The following is a 21,499-nucleotide window of genomic DNA, read 5'->3' on the forward strand; positions in this document are numbered from 1 at the left end:
GGTCAGAGAATTCCCCAAGGAATTTCCATTATATGTAGCTTCCATTATAAGAAAAAAACAAAGATGAGAGTTCATCAGAGGAGACAGATTTTACCCTAGAAAAAAGAAAGTTCTTATTTGAGTAATTGTGTTGAGATTCTTCAGAGGGATTACTGATTTAATATGACAGGCAATATTCTTAATTCACACCCTTGAGAATCTAACTAGAGCAGTCAGGCCTGACCATGGCAGCAGGATATATACAGGGTCTGTCCAGATCTTCCATTAGAGGCCCCAATTCTAAGAATCAACTAGCTTCACAAGCAACCCAGAGAAGACACTGTGCTAAGTGGAGATTTCCTAGGCATTAAAGTGAAACCAACTTTGATTCAAACTCAGATCTGCCTCCTACTATCCTTGAAGTTTGGACAAGTTAGTGTAGCTTTCAAATCATAGTAAAAAGTGATTAATATTACTTACTTCTCAGAGTGTTAGTAAGCATTTAATGAAAAAAAAATATGGAAAGGGAGAAGTGTGTGCCTAAATGGTCTGCCTTTGGTCCCAGGAGTGCCATTTTATTCATTTTCTAAGCACAATACAAATTGGAATTGTGAACCTCTGATTAGGCTCTATGTAAGCTTTTGTTGGAAAACCCTAAACAGAGAGATGGCTTTCAAGCTGTCAGCTCCTTAGCAAATGCTTGTGCATATACACGTGTGCACATATGCACACATGCAAGAGATTAGTTCTTATATATTACATTGTGAATTATGAAAAATTATACCAGAGAATTATGCCTATCCTGTCTTGTTTAAAGTGCTGCTGTTTGCACTTTAATTCCAAAATTATATTCTACATTATTGGCTGGATTGTAAATTTAAAACTCTTAGTCCTAATAGTGGTGCTATCCAGTCAATATTTTGTTTGATTTTTCAACACTGGACATACTTACAAATCATCTTCTATATAAACCAATTCATCTATCTAATTTCTGCATTTCTTCCAAATTCACATGGTAGACAGAATAATCTTCCAACAAATAGAGTCTGTTATCAATTTAGGTCACCAGTCTGGGACTTGGAAACAACAGAAACCAAATAGAATAAAGACTTCTCTCTTCTTTTATTTAAAGCTACCACTTCCATTATAAGAAAAAAGGAAGGATTCTAATTCATCAGAAGAAAGAGATTTTTGCCCAGTATCCAAGTCAGGGGCTAAAAATAATTCTCATTTGGTCAATTTTCTAAGCATTCCCTTTTCCAGTTCTTTATTTGGAATATTTTCTATTGCTTTATTAACCAAGACAGAGCCTCATGCATGTAATCATATAAACTTGAAGAATTATTTGTATATCATATATAATACAAATTCCTGATAATTTAGATCCCTTAATAACTTGAAGGTTACGTAAGGCATTATGAAACTACACCAGCATCTTAGTGTAATGACAAAGATAATCAAAGTGGTGATAACAGATCTTTGATAAAGATATGTCCTTCTTTCCAAGGGGCTCCATTTCTGGTAGAAAACAGGCAACATATTTACATATTTGTTTTTTTAAAAAATATATTGAACATGTCCCTAAAGTTATTGGGTTAAGACAGGCAGCAGGTGGAAAATATTCTAGGCAGCTATTCAACTTATTTTCCTCTCGTTCTTTTTTATTATGTTTATTTATTTTTACTTTTGTAGAGATGGGGTCTTCCTGTGTTGTCCAGGCTGGTTTTGAACTCCTGGTTCTATATTTACCAACAACCAACCTACTGACCACAGATTGATTCCAAACTGGGGAGGCAATATATCACAAAATTCATAATGGGGCTGCCACAGGTGGTAATCTCTACAGAAGTATTGTGTGTTTGATTATTGTAACCTAGTTTTCTGAGGACAGATGACTCCATAATAGAACAGATTCTGGACCCCTCCTAGGTGCTTCACATGTTCAAGACAATATTACTGTTCACTATTCCCATTAAATAACCTCATAGCTTTCCCACTTTAGAACCAGGTACTCCAAAAATAAATCTTCAAAAACAAAAATGTGAACTATCTATTCCATGTCTGTATAAGGTGGTGTAAAACATATATTAGTGCTGTTAGATTTTGAAAGTATTTGGAGGTGCTACCATATTTTACATGGGCTTTTATTACCTTTAAACTTTCATAGAATAACAAGATAATTGAATATTTGAATGTTTGCCTAATTGAATTTGGGAGGTTGTAGAAATGTTTCCAGAAAAAGAAACAAAAATTCTGGATTCCTGCCCTTAATATCTATAGGAAGGGCTATATTCTACAATTTTACAGGAGAGAATAATTAACCTAGCATTATGGGAGTGGCATTGAATCAAGTCTCTTTAAGGCACAGTCTTATATGAAGATGAGTAAACAAGTTCAGGTTTTATTTCATTGCACATAGCATAAACTGGAATTTAATACTTTACATAAGCCTTATCCCAAAACTTATGCCATTGAGTTTACATAAATCCTGGTGAAACATTTAAAGAGTTTGTGTTCCCGGTAGATGGACCTATGAAAGAGCTTAGAGTTGGTTTGGAGAAACATTGTTTTGTCTATAAGACAAAATTTAAGTAGCTTGTAAAGATTGCTTATGTTCCTTAAACATTTTGCTTTTAGGGGGACGATGTAATTTCATTTTTTTTTTTTTTTACCACAGGCAACAATTTTTCTACTTAAAGAAGGACTATCAGCCATGAATAGATCTAAGCTGAAGTGGAAAAAAAAGTGATCTGAATATGTAAAGTCACTCAAGAAAGGTACTTAGATTATTTCAGTTTTTCAAAAAGAAAGTAAAACTGTGAGAGAAAAACATACAATGTTGAAGATAACAATCTGCAGGGCTAAATATGTAAAAAGTAGAACCATGTGGTTTATATCAAATTCTTTAGACAATACACAGTATTTTACATCATAGAATTTAAAATTTTTAATGTAGCCTAAGATCTGTTTTTATAGATGGGTGAAGTGGAAGGTTACAAAAAGTAAAAGGAACTCGGCAACTCTTGCCCTGCCTGTGTACTAAAAACATCAGTTCTAGCATTACTAGTATTAGTGGCACTGTTTGACAGTACATGCAAGTTAATGTGAATGTTGGACTAGATTTTAGATTTCTATTTTTGTCTATTTATAAATAAAGATCAGATTGTGTTTATAGAGATGGCCATCTCATTGGGACCATGTGGGAGCAAAGAAACTCTAATAATGATATTATAATAAATATCATGACTATGCACATAAACCTCACTGTGTGCCAGACATTGTTCCAAGCCTTTATTTTTATTAAGTTGTCTTTTGAATTAATGCAGTGGGTTACTGTGATGGTTAACATTGAGTATCAATTTGATTGGATTGAAGGCTGCAAAGTATTGATCCTAGGTGTGTCTGTGAGGGTGTTGCCCAAGGAGATTAACACTTGAGTCAGTGGACTGGGAGACACAGACCCACCCTCAATCTGGGTGGGCACAATCTAATCAGCTGATAGCACAGCCAGAATAAAAGCAGGCTGAAGAACGTGGAAGGACCAGACTGGCTGAGTCTTCCAGCCTTCATCCTTCCCCCATCGGTGTAAGACTCTTGGACTTACACTTGTGGTTTGCCAGGGGCTCTAGGGCCTTCAGCCACAGACTGAGGCTGTACTTTCAGCTTCTTTAGTTTTGAGGTTTTGGGACTTGGACGGGCTTCCTTACTCCTCAACTTGCAGATGGCTTATTGTGGGGCTTTACCTTGTGATGGTGTGAGTCGATACTCCTTAATAAACTCCCTTTCATATATACATCTATCCTATTAGTCCTGTCCTTCTAGAGAACCCTGACAAATACAATTATTATCCATATTGTTTCTTTCCTATCAGTATTCTCATTTTACAGATGAGGAAACTGAGACACAGTGAAATTATATAGTTAACCCAGGGTCACACTGCTAGTAAGTGGCAAAATCGGGAGTTAGACCAAGGAGACAAGTTCTAGAGTCTGCTTTACTGTTAACTACTACACTATGAGCTAAGGTTTAAACTCTTCACCTCATAGGCTAAATGTAATTAATGAACAAGTTTTTGTATGTTGATCATCACTGGTGCTGTAGTTCATGGAGAAAATAAATTCCTTCTGGGTTATCCACTGTGATTGTATCTTCAAAGAGAGACATCTGGAGACACAATACTGAAGAGTGGTAGAAGTACTGAATATATTATCGAACTTTGGAAATCAGCCAAACTTTCTCCCTGCCAAATGGGAATTCTGGGCTCCACCTGGGCTAGGTTCTGCAGCTGTGATTGGCGTGGGGGTGGTCAAGCCCGGCTTGGTTACAGGAGTGGGGCAAAAGATGAAGGGGTACAGGGAGAAAGATTATTTAGGATCCTGAGGATCAATGGAGAAAAACCATACAACTTTGTTGATTACTTTCACTGTGAATACATGGTCTACTACCTCAACCGGGCCCTCAGAGCTACTTTCAGCATTCTGTTTTCCGTAGTTTGCTTGCTCTTCCTGGGTTCCATAGTGAACTGTTTTTTAAATGATGTCTTCAAGCCACTGACCCTTAACTTTTCCACCGCACTCTCAGCATGGAGAAAAGAGTCATCAGCCTGGAATTCCCTTGGTCTCCTACCACCAACAGATGAATTTCCCACATGAGCATCCACCTTCGGCCCCTTTCCTACCTCAGTGGGCTTCCTTCCTATTAGTGTCTGGTTTTCTATTTCCATTCAGGTTCCTACCCTTCCTGCCTGCTCAGAGTCCTCACACCTTATGTAACTGATTATCCCCTTTTCTGTTTTTGGCTTTTGTTTTTTTGAGACAAGTTCTCACCCTGTCCCCAGGTTAGAGTGTGGTGGCATAATCATTGCTCACTGCAGCCTTGAACTCCTGGGCTCAAGCGATCCTCCTACCTCAGTCTCCTGAGTAGCTGGAACTACAGGGGTATGCCACCTTGCCCAGCTTATTTTTCATTTTTTACAGCTCTTCTTTTAGGTTCAGGGGTACATGTGCAGGTTTGTTACATCAGTAAATGCATGCTGCAGGAGCTTGATGTACAGATTATTTTGTCACCAAGGTAATAAACATAGTACCTGATAGGTAGTTTTTGAATACCCTCCCTCCTCCCACCCTCCACCTTCAAGTAGGCCTCACTGTCTGTTGTTCCCTTCTTTGTGTCCATATGTACTCAAAGTTTAGCTCCCACTTATAAGTGAGAGTATGTGGTATTTGGTTTTCTGTTCCTGTGTTAGTTTGCTTAAGATATGGCCTCCAGATCCAACCATGTTGCTGCAAAGGACATGATCTCTGTCTTTTTATGGCTACATAGGATTCCATTGTCTATACGTACCACCTTTTAAAAATCCAGTCTATCATTGATGGGCATTTAGGTTAATTCCATGTCTTTGCTATAGTGAATAGTGCTGCAGTGAACATACTCATGCACGTGTCTTTATGTCAGAAACATATTTAAACTAAAGAGCTTCTGCACAGCAAAATAAGCTATAACAGAGTAAACAGACAACCTACAGAATGGGAAAAAATATTTGCAAACTATGTATCCAACAAAGATCTAATATCCAGACGCTATAAGGAACTTAAACAAATTTACAAGCAAAAAACAACCCCATTAAAAAGTAGGCAAAGGACATGAACAGACACTTTTCAAAAGATGACATATATGTGGTCAACAAGCATATGAAAAACTGCTTAACATCACTAATCACTACAGAAATGCAAATCAAAACCACAGTGAGATACCATCTCACACTAATCAGAATGGCTACTATTAAAAAGTAAAAAAATAACAGATGGTGGTGAGGTTGTGGAACAAAGGGAACGCTTATACATTGTTGGTGGGAATGTAAATTAGTTCAGCCATTGTGGAAAGCAGTTTGGCAATTTCTCAAAGAATTTAAAACAAAATTACCATTTGTCACAGCAATCCCATTTTTGGGTACATACCCAAATGAATATTTTTTAACTTTTTTTACAGATGGGATCTCACTTTGTTGCCCAGGTCAGTCTTATGATCCTTCTGCCTCAGCATCCCAAAGTGTTGGGATAACAGGTCTGAGCCACTGCTTCAGGTCTGATTATCCCCTTTTCTTCTACCTCCAAACTCTAGTATCTGCTGGCTCCTTCCTACCAGCATTTAAATGTCTTCAAGATTGTCTCATTGTTTAAAGAAAAACCATTCTCCATCCATCCACCTCTCATTCTCATTTTCTGCCCCATCTCTCTCTTCCATATTCAGGTATCTTCAAAGAGTTGTCTTCACCTCCTATCAACCATTGATCCTTTGCAAACTGGATTTTCCCCTTCCCGCATTACTAAAATTCTCACAGCAAGGTCAGCAGTGCCCTTCCTGTTGATATGTCTGGTGGCCACTTCACATCTGATGTTACTCCTCTTCTTTTCACAGTGCTGATCACTTTCTTCTTAAAATCTATTGATGTCTTTGGAGGAAAGAGAAACAAATGGGAAATCTGGGGCTTCCCCAACACCACCTATTCTTTAGCTTTATTCTGTCTGGTTGTTTCTTTCTATCTTGTTGGCAGGTATCTTTTTCTTCACCCATTCTGGAATACAAGAATTTCTCAGATTCTGTCTTATGCTGCTTACTCTTCTCACTGTATAGTTTTTCTCTTGGTCAGTATTATCAAGACTTTAATTATCATCTATGTACTTACTATTCTTGAATTCATATCTGTAACCCAGATATGTATCTTGAATTACAAATCCAAATGTATATCCAACTCTTAATATCTCCCAGTTCTGCATATACTGCAAACACAATACATCCCAAACTGAGCTCATAATCTTCTCTTACATTTTTAAATTCTCTCTTCCTTTGTTTCCTGTGACTCAAGTAATCACCAAGCTCTATTAAGTCTATGATATGTTTTGTCTCTGTCTCCCTACCCAACTCTCACCTTTAATTGTAGTAATCTCCATGTGTTGTGGGAGGGACCAGGTGGGAGGTAATTGAATCATGGGGATGGGTTTTTCCCATGCTATTCTTGTGATAGTGAATAAGTCTCATGAGATCTGATGCTTTTATATAAAGGGGAGTTCCCCTGCACATGCTCTCTCTTGCCTGCTGCCATGTAAGATGTGCCTTTGCTCCACATTTGTCTTCCACCATGATTGTGAGTCCTCCCCAGCCATGTGAAACTGTGAGTCCATTAAACCTCTTTCCTTTATAAATTACCCAGTCTCAGGTATGTGTTTATTAGCAGCATGAGAACAGACTAATACAGTCTACTTACCTGTCTCTAAAATCTGTTTATTTTTTTCTTCATCCCCACTGTCACTACTGTCATTAGCCTAGACCATTAGCCTAGACCAGACCCCCACCAACTCTCAAGTGGGTGATGACTACAGTTTCCCAACCACTCTGCTGTTCTTAGGGTTTGTTTCAGCATCGCAGCCTGGCTGATCTGTCAGGAACACAAAATTGATCATTCTAGTCCCTATTTCAAACATCTTAGCAACTTCAAGTTGTCCTCTGGATTAAACCCAGACTCCTACATGATTTGCAAGGCTCCTCACAAGCTGGTCTCTGCTCATCTTCTCAGTTTTATTCTCTATACTCCTCTTTCAGGCTCTCTGGTCCAGTCTTAATGAAAAATTTTTCATCTCTGAAAGTTTCATGCTGTTTCTTTTGTCTGGGCTTTTGTTATGCTGTTCCCTTTGCCTATCCAACATTCTTCATTATACCCTTTATCTTCCTAACTTGCATTACTTCTTTATCTTCCTAACTTGCATTCATCTTTTAAGTTCCAGTTTCCAAATGACTTTCATTTTGGAGAGCATTTTCTGGCCTTCCACATCCAGAATAAATGTCCTCCATAAATAAATGTCCTCCAGAATAAATGTCCTCCATAGCCCTTTTGACTTCCTATATGATGGCACTTATTGCACTGTATTATAATTGCTGGCACTGTGCTTGGATACATAATTTATAAGTATTTAATAAGTATTTAGTTGAATAGCATAAACTGAATATTTTTTATTTTCTCTCATTTTAGAAATTAAGTCAGTAAAACTTGTCATCTATCACCACACAAAATAACCCTAAATTCATTATAGTTTTATATAACTTCCCTCTTTGATCTAATAGGCCTTAATGGATAAATGTTTACCCATTGCTTATGTAGACATAAAATAAGATATGCCAGAGGCAGGTAATGGGAGAGAACTGAACCAAGTGTGCATTAAACCAAAGTATTATGTTCAATGAAAAACAACATCTATAGGCTTTAAGGGTTAAGGTAAATGTATGCTTGGTTGATGTCCACTTTGGTTTGGTTAACATTTATTGGGCATAATATACCATATGATGCCGTATTCTGTCTGTACTGAATACTTTTTGTATGGAGGATTTATTATATGACCAAATAATGAATTAGGTAAAATATCATGCTGCCATTTTTTCCCACTTGCTGCCTCAAGCCCGATCTTACTCCCAGTTCTTCTTTTCTATGAAATTTTTCTTCTCCCAGTGTCTATACGTGGGGCTAGTCCCTGATTCGTAGAAAAGATATGGCTCAGGCCCAGTGAAATTGCAAGCTGATTACAACTTGGGAAAAATAGGCTTTTTCTTTTCCTGGATCTTCCTTTGAGTAATTGTTTTAAAAAATATTTAGACAGTATATAGGTCATTGACTTTAACTTTTATCTCATGGCTTTTATGTTGGTTAGTAAGTTTCAGACACTATTCTCAAGTATCATCTCAAGTGGTAAGAAGCATTTGGGCTACACAAATGGCAAAGAGAGTAGCATGGCAAAAGGACTAAGAGGAGGGTCCACTCGTTTAGGAAAGTTGTCTCATAGCTTGTCTCATTTTAGTTACATCTCTCTAAGTTAGAGAATTATATTAGAAAATATCACTTTTTACTTATTAAACGTATGTATATGTTTTAAGTGTTTAATCTTTACCTTTTGGCTTCTAACAGATTAGATGATGGTTTAGTGAGACATTTTAGGGATGAGGAGGTGGCCATCATGGCTAGTGCTGCCCAACGTTCCTCTTCCCGATGTGGTTGTGCATATTTAGAAAAGCTGAGACCTTTGAAAATCTGTACTGGTTGTTTATTTCTGAGTCTTCATTTGCTTTAAGTTATAATATTTAACATCTTCTCAAGGATTACCTCTCTGTGTTCTGAATTTAAAAGAAACTGGACTCAAGAAAGATTTCATCTGAAACTTCTGATCTCTCAATTTCTCTCTGCCAACAAACCCTAGCATGTCGGTACTTCCTGTAATATAGCTGCTGGTGCTCGGATGACAAGATACACTTCAGTTTAATGGAAATGAGCATAATTCTCACTAGACTGCACCCATTTTTCATTATCTTTAAAAAATGTGGGTTTTTTTGTTTTGTTTTTTTTTTGCCAAGGTTAGTAACTCACACCTGCAGTCTCAGCACTTTGGGAGGCTGAAGCAGGAGGATTGCTTGAGGCCAGGAGTTTTAGACCAACCATGGCAACATAGTGAGATCTTGTCTCTATAGGAAATAAAAGTTTTTCCTTAACATATACATCAACTGAGTGGTTAGTTTTGTAGGTCTTAAGGATTTTCTTTCTCTTTTAGGAAAGCTCCCCCCATATGCATTTTTTAAAGCATGTTTCTTCCCCTTTCATTTTTCAAACCTCATCCTAAGTCTCTACTTCTGTGCTTTCCTTTTCACCCTCTCTCTCTCCCTTGTTTGCATACTAATATCTAAAAATGAGGTTTTCTGCTCCATGATCTGGACCCCACCAGTGATCAATGAAGTGAGTATCAGTTACAAGCACAAGTCCAGCAGGAGCCAGTTTGGCTTAAAATCAACCTTCCTTGGTAAACCAAGAGAATATATAATCCTGATTGATTACTCCTAGGGAATATATTTGTGTCATTGGTAGTCAGTGCAATTGAACTAAAATAGTTCTTAATTCTAAACCCTCTTTTAGATTTTTACCTTCTCTCATGTCTATGCCACAAGTAAACGGTTTGGATAAAGAATGAGGAGATGAAAACTTATTTCAGAGCTTTGTACAGTACTGACTAGGTTGCACCATCTGAGCTCCTTAAGCTTCTTAGAATTTGTCTTAGAGGATGTAATAAACTGTGATGCATTGATCTGGCTTAGGGTCCCTGGGCATTTGTGCTTAAAGAATTCCATTTATTGAATCCTTGATTCTACAGCAGGTACTCCATGCTCAACCTATTATCAAAACAGCTTTATGTCTGAAAAATGTGATAAGCATGCTTCCCCAGGAAGCAGAGTTTATGATTCCGCCTATGCAAATCTCTCCTGAGGCCCAGGAGAATGTCTCTTGCTACAATCCCATGTGATTTCTTCATCTTTAGTACAAAGTACTGAATCATCAACTTTTCCCCAGAATTACTTCATCTTTTTCAAAAAAACCATTAGATAACAGTCCTAAAGGCTGTCTATGCAGTCCAGGTCTCACTTTCTTTGTCATGAGTGTAAAAAATGTTTTAATTACCAAAATTTAGGGTTTGGTTCACCCGAATACTGAAGTTCTTTTGTTTAACTAAAATTCCTTAGGCTCTAATGATTTTTTTCATTTATTTTCTATATCCTTCTCATAAAAAACTCTTCAGATTCTCAAAGGAGTAACCTTTTCCTTTTGCTGTTTAATAACATTTTAATTTTTTTTAATTAACAAAATTTATTTTTATAGAGATGGGATCTCGTTATGTTGTCCAGGCTGGTCTCAAACTCCTGGCCTCAAGAGATCCTTCTGCCTCTGCGTTCCAAAGCACTGTTTTTTGTTTTTTCATTAGGGGCACCTGGCCTTAATTATTTTTAATGACATATTCTGCACCATATCTATATGTATCTTTTAAATTTGGAAACCTTTAAGTGCACAATACACATGTGAGATTCACAAATAGGCTCTTGTTGATGGTAATGATAGAATAAATTTTAGCATTCCGTATGGAGAAGTCCAATCCCAAGTGTGTACAGTGACAATGAATTGGCGGTTGTTGAATCCTAGTGTTCCCTTTGGCCATTAACATTGATACAGGAGCAGCAAAGCAAAATCCTGGGGCAGACAGAAGTGGAGCTACAGGGCTGGGAAAATGAACAACTGTGGGGTGGAGGTGGAAACATCAGTAGCAACAGGCGCCAAGTCTAAACACACCACATGCTTGAAAACTAACATTCAAGACTTGATTTGAGTTCAGAACCCATGGGGTTCTGAAGGAAGCCCAGCAGGGGACCTTGGAAGCTCTTTCCTCATCCCAGTGGAGCTATTTAAGCAGAGCTCCCCTCGGGAGGCCCTCTTTTGACAGCCCTGTGGATATCCCTCCACTAAGCTCAAAGGCATGGTCCTGGCTTCCGACAAACATGAGAGTGGCCAGGTGACTCTGACCTCCTTCTCCTGTCCCTGGAGATTTGGTCTGATCATCCAGAGACAGTGTTATACTTTCCTCACATTCACTTTCACTCTGACTTCCAGTTCCCTACAGGATCTAAGTGTCTGTCAAGCATATCCATAAGTCAGACAACATATTGGCCACGGCCTAAATAAAGGAATATACAAGTTAACCCTTTTCCTGTTTAGAAAAAAAAAAGTGCAGCTCACTGCCAATGCTCATTTAATTGTACATAAACACAGTATTTGAGGCTGAAGCAAATCTAACTCATTTTCAATGTGAAAATAAAATCTAAAAACTGTTCTTAGAGTTGTTTCTAAGAAGAACTAACATCAGAAACATCCGAATCATCAGAATCCTCTATTTCAGAAAAAATTGAATTTATCAAATGAATCTTTGGCCAATAACTCTTCGAGAATGATGTTAACATCACGTGTAGGAATGCTATGTTTTCTAGGATTTGACATTTTCAGTGATCGAGAATTACTATATTTTATAAACGGAGATACCACTACTAAAAACAGAATGCTATAAAGAGTATGATGTCTTTTGTTCCAAAGTCGATACACTAGAGTGATGCAAAAATAATAATAAAATTAAGATATTTTGTGGCAAAGTTATCTTAGGGTAAACACTGCAGCGGCAAGCACCACTGGAGAATATCCTCAGGGCAGATGGGAAAGGGAATGAACATGCATCTCAGAGGTGAGAGGAGCTGCTTCTGTAGCAGCCACCATGGGGTTCCATAGCTCACATGCCATTGGCACAACACAGAACCCTGAGCTGCAGAATTGGCCCCTTAGCATCCAGAAGACCATGTGACAGGTGATACCCCAAATCAATGATGAGGAATTGAACATGGAGATCCACTCAAGGACTGCAGGCCCTGTAAACAAACAAGTCAGGGACTGCAGCCCACTCTGTAGCAGTGGTCCTGGCCCTCTCATGTTGCTCCTTTTGTGACTCTCTGGTCCTGCTCTGTTCCTGGATCAACCCACTTCTAATCATCTCCAATCTGTACCTTATCCCTGACCCTGTATGCTACACATCCATTAGCCTTCTGTTTCCTCAGGTTTTTATTTATTTGTTTAAATTTAACAAACACATTGATCTTAGTACTTTACAAACATGAATCCCTACAATGATGAGACGATGAGGTAATCCTAGTGTTACCCCCACTTTGTAGGAATTTGTCATCACTTTTGCCTATTAATGTTCCTAGACACTGCATATAGCCAGCCTCTTGGGCATCCAGCTAGTTCAGCGTCACTATTATCAGTCTTATCAGTGCCTTTCTCAGAGCAGGGTTGGATGGTACCCACTGTATGGTAGCAAAAGAGCTCGAGCTTTTGGAGCTGGGCAGTCTGGGTTTGCACTTCAGGTTTCCCACATACTAGCTGAGTGACTCTAAGCAAGTAAGGGTTTTCTCATCTGTAAAGTAGGAATCAAATCTACCTTGGAGAGTCATCCAGGAGGTTGAACATCCATATGAAGAAAACCCTAGCACTGTGCCTGGAACAGAAAAGCGTTTAGGAAATGATAGCTACTGTTACTCCCCCAGGAGTATAGAAAGTCCTGCTTGACTACATTGCACACAGTTGAAACTTTAGAAGTAAAAGTGGCCTTCGATTTTGGCTAGTTGGATTCTTTCCTTTTTGAATGAGGAAACTGAAGTCCAGAAATCTTTAGACGTTTTTGAAGTCACCCGCTAATTAACAAGAAAACAGAGGAAGAACTGAGGCCACCTGATTCCTTACAGTGTTTTTAACTACCACCACACCCTGCCTCTTCTGAACTCGAAAGGCTCAATCTCACATGGGCAGATCCCAAAACAGGAGATGATCTGTCAGACAATGGAAGGCCCCAGCACATTCTCCTCCTTCCATTCATTTTCCAGTAGAAGCAACTCTTTGCCTCAGACATCTTCAGATTCCGAGATTAATAAAGCTATTGTTAAGAGACAAATACACAGAGCTCTGCTACAGCTGCCTGCTTTTCAGTCACAGTGGTTTTTTGACTCAATTCCTCCAAGCTTTGCAGAGGCTCATCTTGTTTGAAAGAGAAATGTGCCTTAATCTCTTCTTTTCCTCCTTATGTGAATGGTCACCCCACTTGTAGGGCAATAAATGATATTGCTTTAGCTTATATTTATCCTCTTCCAATAATTTACAGATTGAAATTTACTTCTTAGAGACAAAAAAATATTCCTGGGGCTGAAGCTGAACAATCTGATGTCTCTGGTAGCAGGAATTTGGTTGTGGTAATATTGTTACCATATGGATTAATACGTAACTATTGAAAACTGGGATGAGAATTCCAGGGCATTTTACTGGGACCACCAAGATGATGAATGACATATTCAATTCTAAGGAACTGAAGTGAAGAAGAATTCTGCATTTTTAAATTGGAGTATCATGTCAAAATGAAAACCTTATTATAAATAAAAGTACATATACACATAGGAGCAAAACCTCTTCAGCTCTGGGAGGGATCTATGTGACACCAACATAGTTAGAATGTTTCAGAATTATTTAAAAAAACAATGAATCAGCACAGCTGTCATCATCATTTATTCCTTTCTTTCCCTATAATGAAGCACTGCTCCTTTTCCTCTCCCAAATGAAAATCAGTTGGGCATGTCCTAGAATATTGAACTATTTGGGGTTTTCAGGCCTTTTTGCTCATGCCATTTATCACTGAGGCTACTGACTGGTGAGCAATGGGTCCACCATTGTGCTCTAAGGAGATTTTTGTTTCAAGCACTGCTTTGTTTTAAGTTAGGTGTTGAATGCGGCATCAAAGGTAGGCAGGCAGACATTCAGAGGCAGATGTGGGCACATTCCCAAAAGTTCAGTGCCAAGGGCCTTGTGTTTCTTAACAGAGGTGACCTGGAAAGATTCCAAAAACAAGATGAAAACTACAAAGTTGAATTTGGTTAAAGGGAAGAAGAAAGGAAAGCATTGAAAGCTTGAATCCTGTTAACTTGAAAAGTTGAGTTCTGGTCTTTTAAAAGCTTCCTTCCAAAATAGACCCGAATTAGTTTAATCTCTCGCCAATTGTAGATTTAAATTTAGCTTCTCACACTTACTAATCTTTTTAGCAGTGAAAATAGCCATTGTTGCTAATAGGAAATTGATTTAGTATTTTCTGTTTATAATGAACTTTTAGTTAACTTGGATGGTTAAAACAAAGACCATTGTTACTGAATTTATTAATGGGTCCCTAGCTGAACAGATGGAGGGAGAGTCACGGGTTAGGGCCAGCACACAGAATCAGCCACATTTGCACACATCTTCCATCACTTCCACTACTGCTGCTTTTCATTTCAAGCACTGCTTTGTTTTAAGTTAGGTGTTTAGGATGAATTTTGGATTTTGGACAAGTTGCTTAATTTCTCTAAACCTCACTAGTGTCATCTATAAAATGGGAATGTTTTTGTGACATGTAAGTGAGCAAATGAATACGAAGTATAACACTTGCTACGTAATGAGTAGATTCTAAAATTCTCTAGAATTATTCCATTCATTCTATAACTCATAGACATGTTAAATTGCATATATTTGGAAAGATCTGGAAGTAGTATCAGGACCAACTGCAGACTTCCTTTTTACACATGAAGTAAGTGAAATAGAGTTGTCAGATGCTTCACCTGGGACCACGTGGCCCGTAAGTCACAAATTTGGCCAGAGCTATGGTGAGAATCCAGATCTTTACTTTCTTTCCATTGAACCTCAAAGTAGGTTCAATGTATAAGGCTATTTTTAATTTAACTGCCATAAAATAATGATTTTATAGTGATATAAAATGTGTATTATTACAGTGATATAAAACATAACTCCTACATAAAATAACAACTACCATTTATTGAACGTGTATTGCCAGTCATTTTACTAAGTATTTACATATATTATCTCATTTAATCCTCATGTTGACCATGAAGGCAAGTACTACTATTGTACCTATTTTTCAAAGTTGGAGAAAGTTAAACACAGGCAATTTAAATAATTTGTCCAAAGTCATACATTTTACTAGTGGCAGAAACATGGTTTGGATTCAGGAAATCCGTCCTTGGAGTCAGTGCTCTTAACCATCACACTGACTGCATTTGAATATTTGAAAATGGGAAGAAGATGAGGCACTTGAATATTTGAAAATGAGGAGAAAATGAGACTTATGTGGATTGTTATCGCTCTCATATACATGGGTGAACTTGGAAAACAATGAGGGCATGTTGCAAAGAACAGTAAATTCAGATAGCCACATGTTGGTCATCACAACTTTATGGCTGCCTTTAAATGACTCCCCAGAACACGTAGGTAGCTGTGTAGCTCTTAAGGAAGTTCAGGTGTCAGATGCCCTCTTTTCAGGTGTCAGAAGCTCTGTTTTCAAATGCTGCCTCTGTGTCTTTCTAGAAGACCAAACTTGTGTCCTCACACTTGTTGGGCTTTGGTTATCTATTTTATTAAAAGAATATGATAAACCTCAAGATATTATTGGGAGGATTTTAAAAGGTGTAATGCAATTGTGTGGCATATAAAACGGCCCCAGAGAGGGTCCCTGCCTTAGTGGAAAATATTTGGTATCCTTTTCTAGTTTCCCTGAATCCTCTACCAGCTTTAGAAAATTACACCTAGTAACACATTTACCCATTTCCATCGGGCTGGAATCTATTCAAGGCAAAATGCAGTCATTCCTGGGTCAGCCTGCCTGAGGCACAAGCCCTAAACACAAGACTGGACTGCAGACAATGATCCTCTCAAGGGTTGACTTAAAGGAGATAATTTCTACCCCACAAGCTTTTCAGAGCATTTAGCTTTTGGAAGCACACGTCTGTTAGTTTGAGAGATGCTTTCTATTAGGTTGGTGCAAAAGTAATGGCAAAAACAGCCATTACTTTTGCACCAACCTAGTATTTTTCTTTGAGGTTAGACCTCCAAAGACAAAGATACACAAAAAAGCACAATGTGTTGTTGGCCTGCAGTAACCCGGGCCTGAGCACAGCCAGAAATGGAAAAATACTCTCAAAGAGCTAGAGAATGGGGAGCAGATCTGAAAAGGGGTTTAACTAATGTGGCAAATGGCCCAGCACACACTCCTCTCTCCTGGTTTGTTTTGATACATCCCCACCTGGTCCCCAGGTGTGTAAGAACCACAAAATACTCTTCATGCCACTGCTCTGGGCCAGACTCATGCAGTGGGAGCCAGGCTGTGCACCTCGGAACAATGGCTTTATTCTTTCAGGTGCCTGAAGAGAGGTCTGAATGTAGAAGGAACTGCTGCTGCTAAGGGCAGGGGGGAAAAAGAGGTCATATACCTTGAGGAATTTGGGCCCAATGTAAAAAATCAGGAAGTTGCAAGATGCCATGTCGAAATGTGAAGCCGGTCCTTCCCTTCTAGCCTGTACCCCAAGTTTGAGATAATTGTGAAGGTGAATTGGCTGCATATTGAGAAGGGAAAGGAGCAAGGAGAAAACTTTTTTTTTCTGTGAAAACCCAGAAGTTCAAGTCTAGAAATACAAGGAAATTGTCAGAACAGAAAGGTAGGGGGTGTTCTTGACTCCACACAAAGATCTGTAGGAATAAAGCAAGTTCTGGAGAGTTTCTTTTGGCGTTAATTATTTCACACTGGAAATCATCACAAAATGGCAAATTCTGGAATTTCCACTTTTCCTTCACCTGAAGAGGGTATACATTTTTACTTTGGCCAGACAGAGACCTCATGTTATTAGAGACAGGGGTGAATTGGAAAGAACAGTTTTCCACCTCACAGTTTTATGGAATTGGCAGGAAAACTTTACTAGTCTCAAGGCAAAATACAGACTATGATATTCTCAAATTTTTCTATTAGGAGAAAAGGTGGCAAGAACTTCATAGAATTTTGTCTGAGGAGATTTGGCAAAGCATCATATAGATGTATATATGAAATTAAATTTCTTATATGGAGCTTTTAGCTATGGAGAAAACGAATTGCATCTCACATAAATGGGATGAGACTTAGCTATTTGTAACCTCGTTACAATGAAATAACTAAAATTGTAAAGAGACATTAAATAATAATCTGCCTGCCTAAACATGGGTTTTCTAGTTTGAAATGAATGCCTTGCATCTAGATTAATAAGGTGACGCAAGACACTACATCATCTGGCAGGGGAAGATTTAAAGCAGGTCAGGTTCCTTGGGAGGAGAGAAAAATAACTTTTAAGATGAAAGACCAAAAAAAAAAAGAAAAAAAAAAGAAAAAGAAAAACTTGTGTGTGGTCCAAACTTCTTTTTTTAAAAACAATTTGCCAAAGGTGTTTAAGCTGCATGGTGATAGTTTTCTCAAAGTTTTAATGATTTACTTGCAAGGCATGATTAGTCATATCTTTGACCAGATGAGGAACACATAAATAAAACCCCCTTTTTTTTTTAATCTTTGGTGTTTAATTCTGAGAGTATTGGGAAATGTGATGAGAGAAGGTGCATGTAATAATGCCTATTTCCCAAGGAGGGTCGAGAGAGTGTTGGCATTTGATTGCACATAATTCTTTAAAAATATAAATACTTAGTAAGTTTAGGCCAACAGGGGAAAGAACTCTGGCTAAAACAGGACAGACCTCCCAGAAAGCTTAAACTTGACCTTCTAATATCTGCTCTTGCAATGGGTACACCATGTAAGACCCTCTTAACCTGTGGCTCAGTCAAATCTTCTAATTAGGAATATTTTCTCTATTTATTGCCCTTTAAAAATACATGTGCTGGTCTTCCTGAAACCACATTCTTTGAAGCAACCAATGTGGTATAGAGTAGCTTTATCACCACAAAATTAGAGAGACCTTTTAAAGAAATACATTTCTGTAAATATTCTTTTATACTTCACTTGGTAGTTAGGGGGTATAGACAGTGGTTTCAAATATCAGTGATGACCTAGTTGTTTAATTACAGTCAATCACTCCGTAATTTGTAGCTTCTTTTAGAGTCATGAGAAATAATAGATGGGATTTCTTGTCCTAGTAGCTATGTAGTGGCTAGGGTTTAACAAACTTTTTTTTTTAGTATCTTAAGTTCAAAATATATAAAATAGATGTATTCTTTGTTCTTATTTTAAAATACACAGCTGTAGCTTCTATAGTGTTATCCTTAGTGCATCTTCAAATGGAAAACAAATAGCATATACTATAGATACTGATGCTAATGAGAAATCTCTTAACATTGTAAGAAGTGTTTGGAAAAGGAAACAAACAGTGAATTGTACAGGATTTCAGGTGTTACTATATATGGGGGAAATGGCTCGAAAGGCAGATACTGTAAGATTTGGAAATGATTTGTAAGTAGTCTTTGGATAAGGATGTTGTTCTAAATCTTCCTTCTACCCATCCTACAGATCAGTATCCTGAGAACATGTGCCAAGTCAAATAATTCCTCAATTCAGCTGACCTAGTGTCCTATTCTAGGCCTTGTTCTGTATGTAACTGTCCCAGTGCATGTCTTCTCTCTGGACAGCCAGCTTCTTCAGGTCAGGGATTACATTTAAATTTCCTTTCTATCCCAGTGTTAATGATAATTGTATGTGTATGTGTTCATGTCCCTTTGCCTTTGTACTTTATTAACGTATTACTCTATTTTCCACCCATATCTAAAAATGTACGCCATGTGATTCCATTTTGATTTATTCCCTACAGAAAACCATCAGATGATTTTATTTTATTTTTTATTAGGCAATAAATACACAGGGTACAAAAATTAGAAGTCATAAAAGGTTATGCAGGAAAAATACGTTTTTACCCTATTTCTCAATCAGTCAGCGTCCCTGGCAAGATGCAAAGTCTGTTAGATATCTTGTTTCTTAGGAATCCTCCTAGAAATATTTAACTTACATAAGCAAATAACATGTATTTGGTAGTCCATGACTAACCCCATTAGAGGCCCTTAATACAGTGAGAAACACACTGTGACAAGGTAGAGATTTCTTGGATGGCAGAGGCACAGACCCTTGAGTGTTAGCATGATATGCCCACTGAGCGCTCCTAAAGCATTAAGTCCCCCATTCTGGGTTCCTCTGTTATAGTGATTACTATGCATGGCTGTGCTTGACTTCAATGTCAGGCTTGCTTGTATCAGGGCACAAGGGAGGCCCTGAGGAACTCAGTTCATTTATATTCTTATCTCCTGGATATTATTTGTAGTGCTTCTTCATCACTGTGTTGAAAACAGTAGTAGCAGCAGTGGTAAAGTGGTTAATACCTTCATAGCACTTACTATGCACTAGACAGGGTTTTGAGTATAAACTTAACTCATTTAAACTAAAGTAAAATCAACCTTAAACCTGGACTCAAGTGTCTAGTTCTAGCACAACTTACTGAAGAATTTATTCCCACATGAACTGGATCAATAACTTTACATACTTTTGAGATAAATTCGTGGACATCCATAATATTTATGGAGGCTAAAAGGATTTTTTGGCATAATCCATGAAAGCACAGGTTAGGGTGAACATGGACATGCTCTTGGTCATAAAGCTATAATTTATCTGACTTTGAATTCAAATATTTTATGGGTTAAATATAGTTAGTAAGGAGGCCCATAAAGCTGTAACTTACCTGACTTTGGAATCAATATTTTATGGGTTAGATGTACTATTAAGGTTGCCCATAAAATTTCTATATTGCTCCACCAGGGCACAATGGAAAGTCATAGTCATATCTTCTGTTTTCACAGTTATAAGGTATAAACCAGAGGTTGCCATCTTTGTGTGGATGGGTGGGTGGATGAGCATATAAAATTCAATCTCCTTTTCCTCCAAAATGAAAATAGCCTTATTATGTCTTCTGATTACAAAAGTAATACATACATACTGCAGAAAACCTTTGAAAATTCAGTCAATTATAAAGAAAAATTAAAAGTCGTAATCTAACCTTACAGAAATAGAAGCCAGTATTAACTTTTTCCATTTTATATCTTTCCAGAGATTTTCTATACATGTATACATCTTTATTACTTGTATATAGTTCCAGAATTTTTTTCTATACATATATATATATATATATATACCTATAAATTTTGATTTTCTTTTTTTGCTAAAATAAGATCATGTTCAACATACTTTCCTTATATAATGTGATATATCCCATACATCTGTCTCTGGTGTAAATACATATTTATATTATCTTTTAAAATAGTTGTATAGTGCTCCCTTGTATAAATGTACCATAATTTAATTAACTAGTCATTTATTGATATTCTTTTAGATATTTGAAAGGTTTTGATAATATAAATAAATATTATTGTACATACATCTTTATCTCTATCCCTGGTTGTTTTTCATGTATTTGATTAAGTTGTTAGATAGGTTTTTAAACAAATGATATAACCCCATATTCCATAAGTAGAGTGATATCTACATATGGAGTGTAATTCATAAACTTTGCTGTTACGTTGGATGTCACTTCTTTTTATTTGAATTGAGAATCCATTTCTCCTGACACAATGAGATCACTGACATGTAGTAATAATGAAGATTTCATTATCCCTTCCTCTGTTCACTTTTGAAGAGGAATCTGGAAGGTGCAAATTGATGCCAGTGCAGACAGTAGGCAACACAGTGGTTAAAGGTGGGAGAGTGGTGTGTGTCTAATGTGGTTATGATGACTTAAAAATAAATATCTGGGTCAGGCGTGGTGGCTCACACCTGTAGTCCCAGCACTTTGGAAGGCTGAAGTTGGTGGATCAACTGAGGTCAGGAGTTTGAGACCAGTCTGGCCAACGTATAGTGAAACCCCATCTCTACTGAAAAATAGAAAAATTAGCTGGACATGGTGGTGCACGCCTGTAGTCCCAGGTACTTGGGAAGCCGAGGCAGGATAATTGCTTGGACCTGGGAAGCAGAGGTTGCAGTGAGCCAAGATTGTGCCAATGCACTCCAGCCTGGGCGACAAAGCAAGACTCCATCTCTATAAATAAACAAACAAACAAACAAACAAACAGACTAAGAAAATTGACAAAGCACCTTAATATTGCCCCTCTGTCCTTCATGCTGAGTTCCAGGGAGCCCCAGCAAGAGCAGATTTGGAAATCCCTAGTTTAGAATCTACACCTGGGAGACCCTCACTGAGGAGGTCCCTGAATCCTGCTGTTTCACCTTTTTGATACTGCATC

The 21,499-nt window shown here is 37.8% G+C and overlaps 1 protein-coding gene and 1 long non-coding RNA gene across 12 annotated transcripts in view; both read left to right on the plus strand.

The window, feature by feature from the left end:
* Positions 1-21,499, plus strand: part of ADAMTSL1 (ADAMTS like 1) — a 1,004,318-nt gene that overhangs the window by 427,043 nt on the left and 555,776 nt on the right. Inside the window, exon 2 of one of the 11 annotated variants that reach the window (XM_017015313.1) lies at positions 2,657-2,756. The exons of the other annotated variants lie outside the window; for them this stretch is intronic. The gene's annotated coding sequence lies outside the window, so the exon portion shown is untranslated. The remainder of the gene's footprint in view (positions 1-2,656; positions 2,757-21,499) is intronic. 11 annotated transcript variants of the gene reach the window in all.
* The window catches only part of LOC107986990 (uncharacterized), a 39,734-nt gene continuing 29,016 nt past the window's right edge, over positions 10,782-21,499 (plus strand). Inside the window, exon 1 of the long non-coding RNA XR_001746428.1 lies at positions 10,782-18,860. This is a non-coding gene — a long non-coding RNA (uncharacterized LOC107986990). The remainder of the gene's footprint in view (positions 18,861-21,499) is intronic.

Source organism: Homo sapiens, chromosome 9 (genome assembly GCF_000001405.40).
Source record: "Homo sapiens chromosome 9, GRCh38.p14 Primary Assembly".
Lineage (NCBI taxonomy): Eukaryota > Metazoa > Chordata > Mammalia > Primates > Hominidae > Homo > Homo sapiens.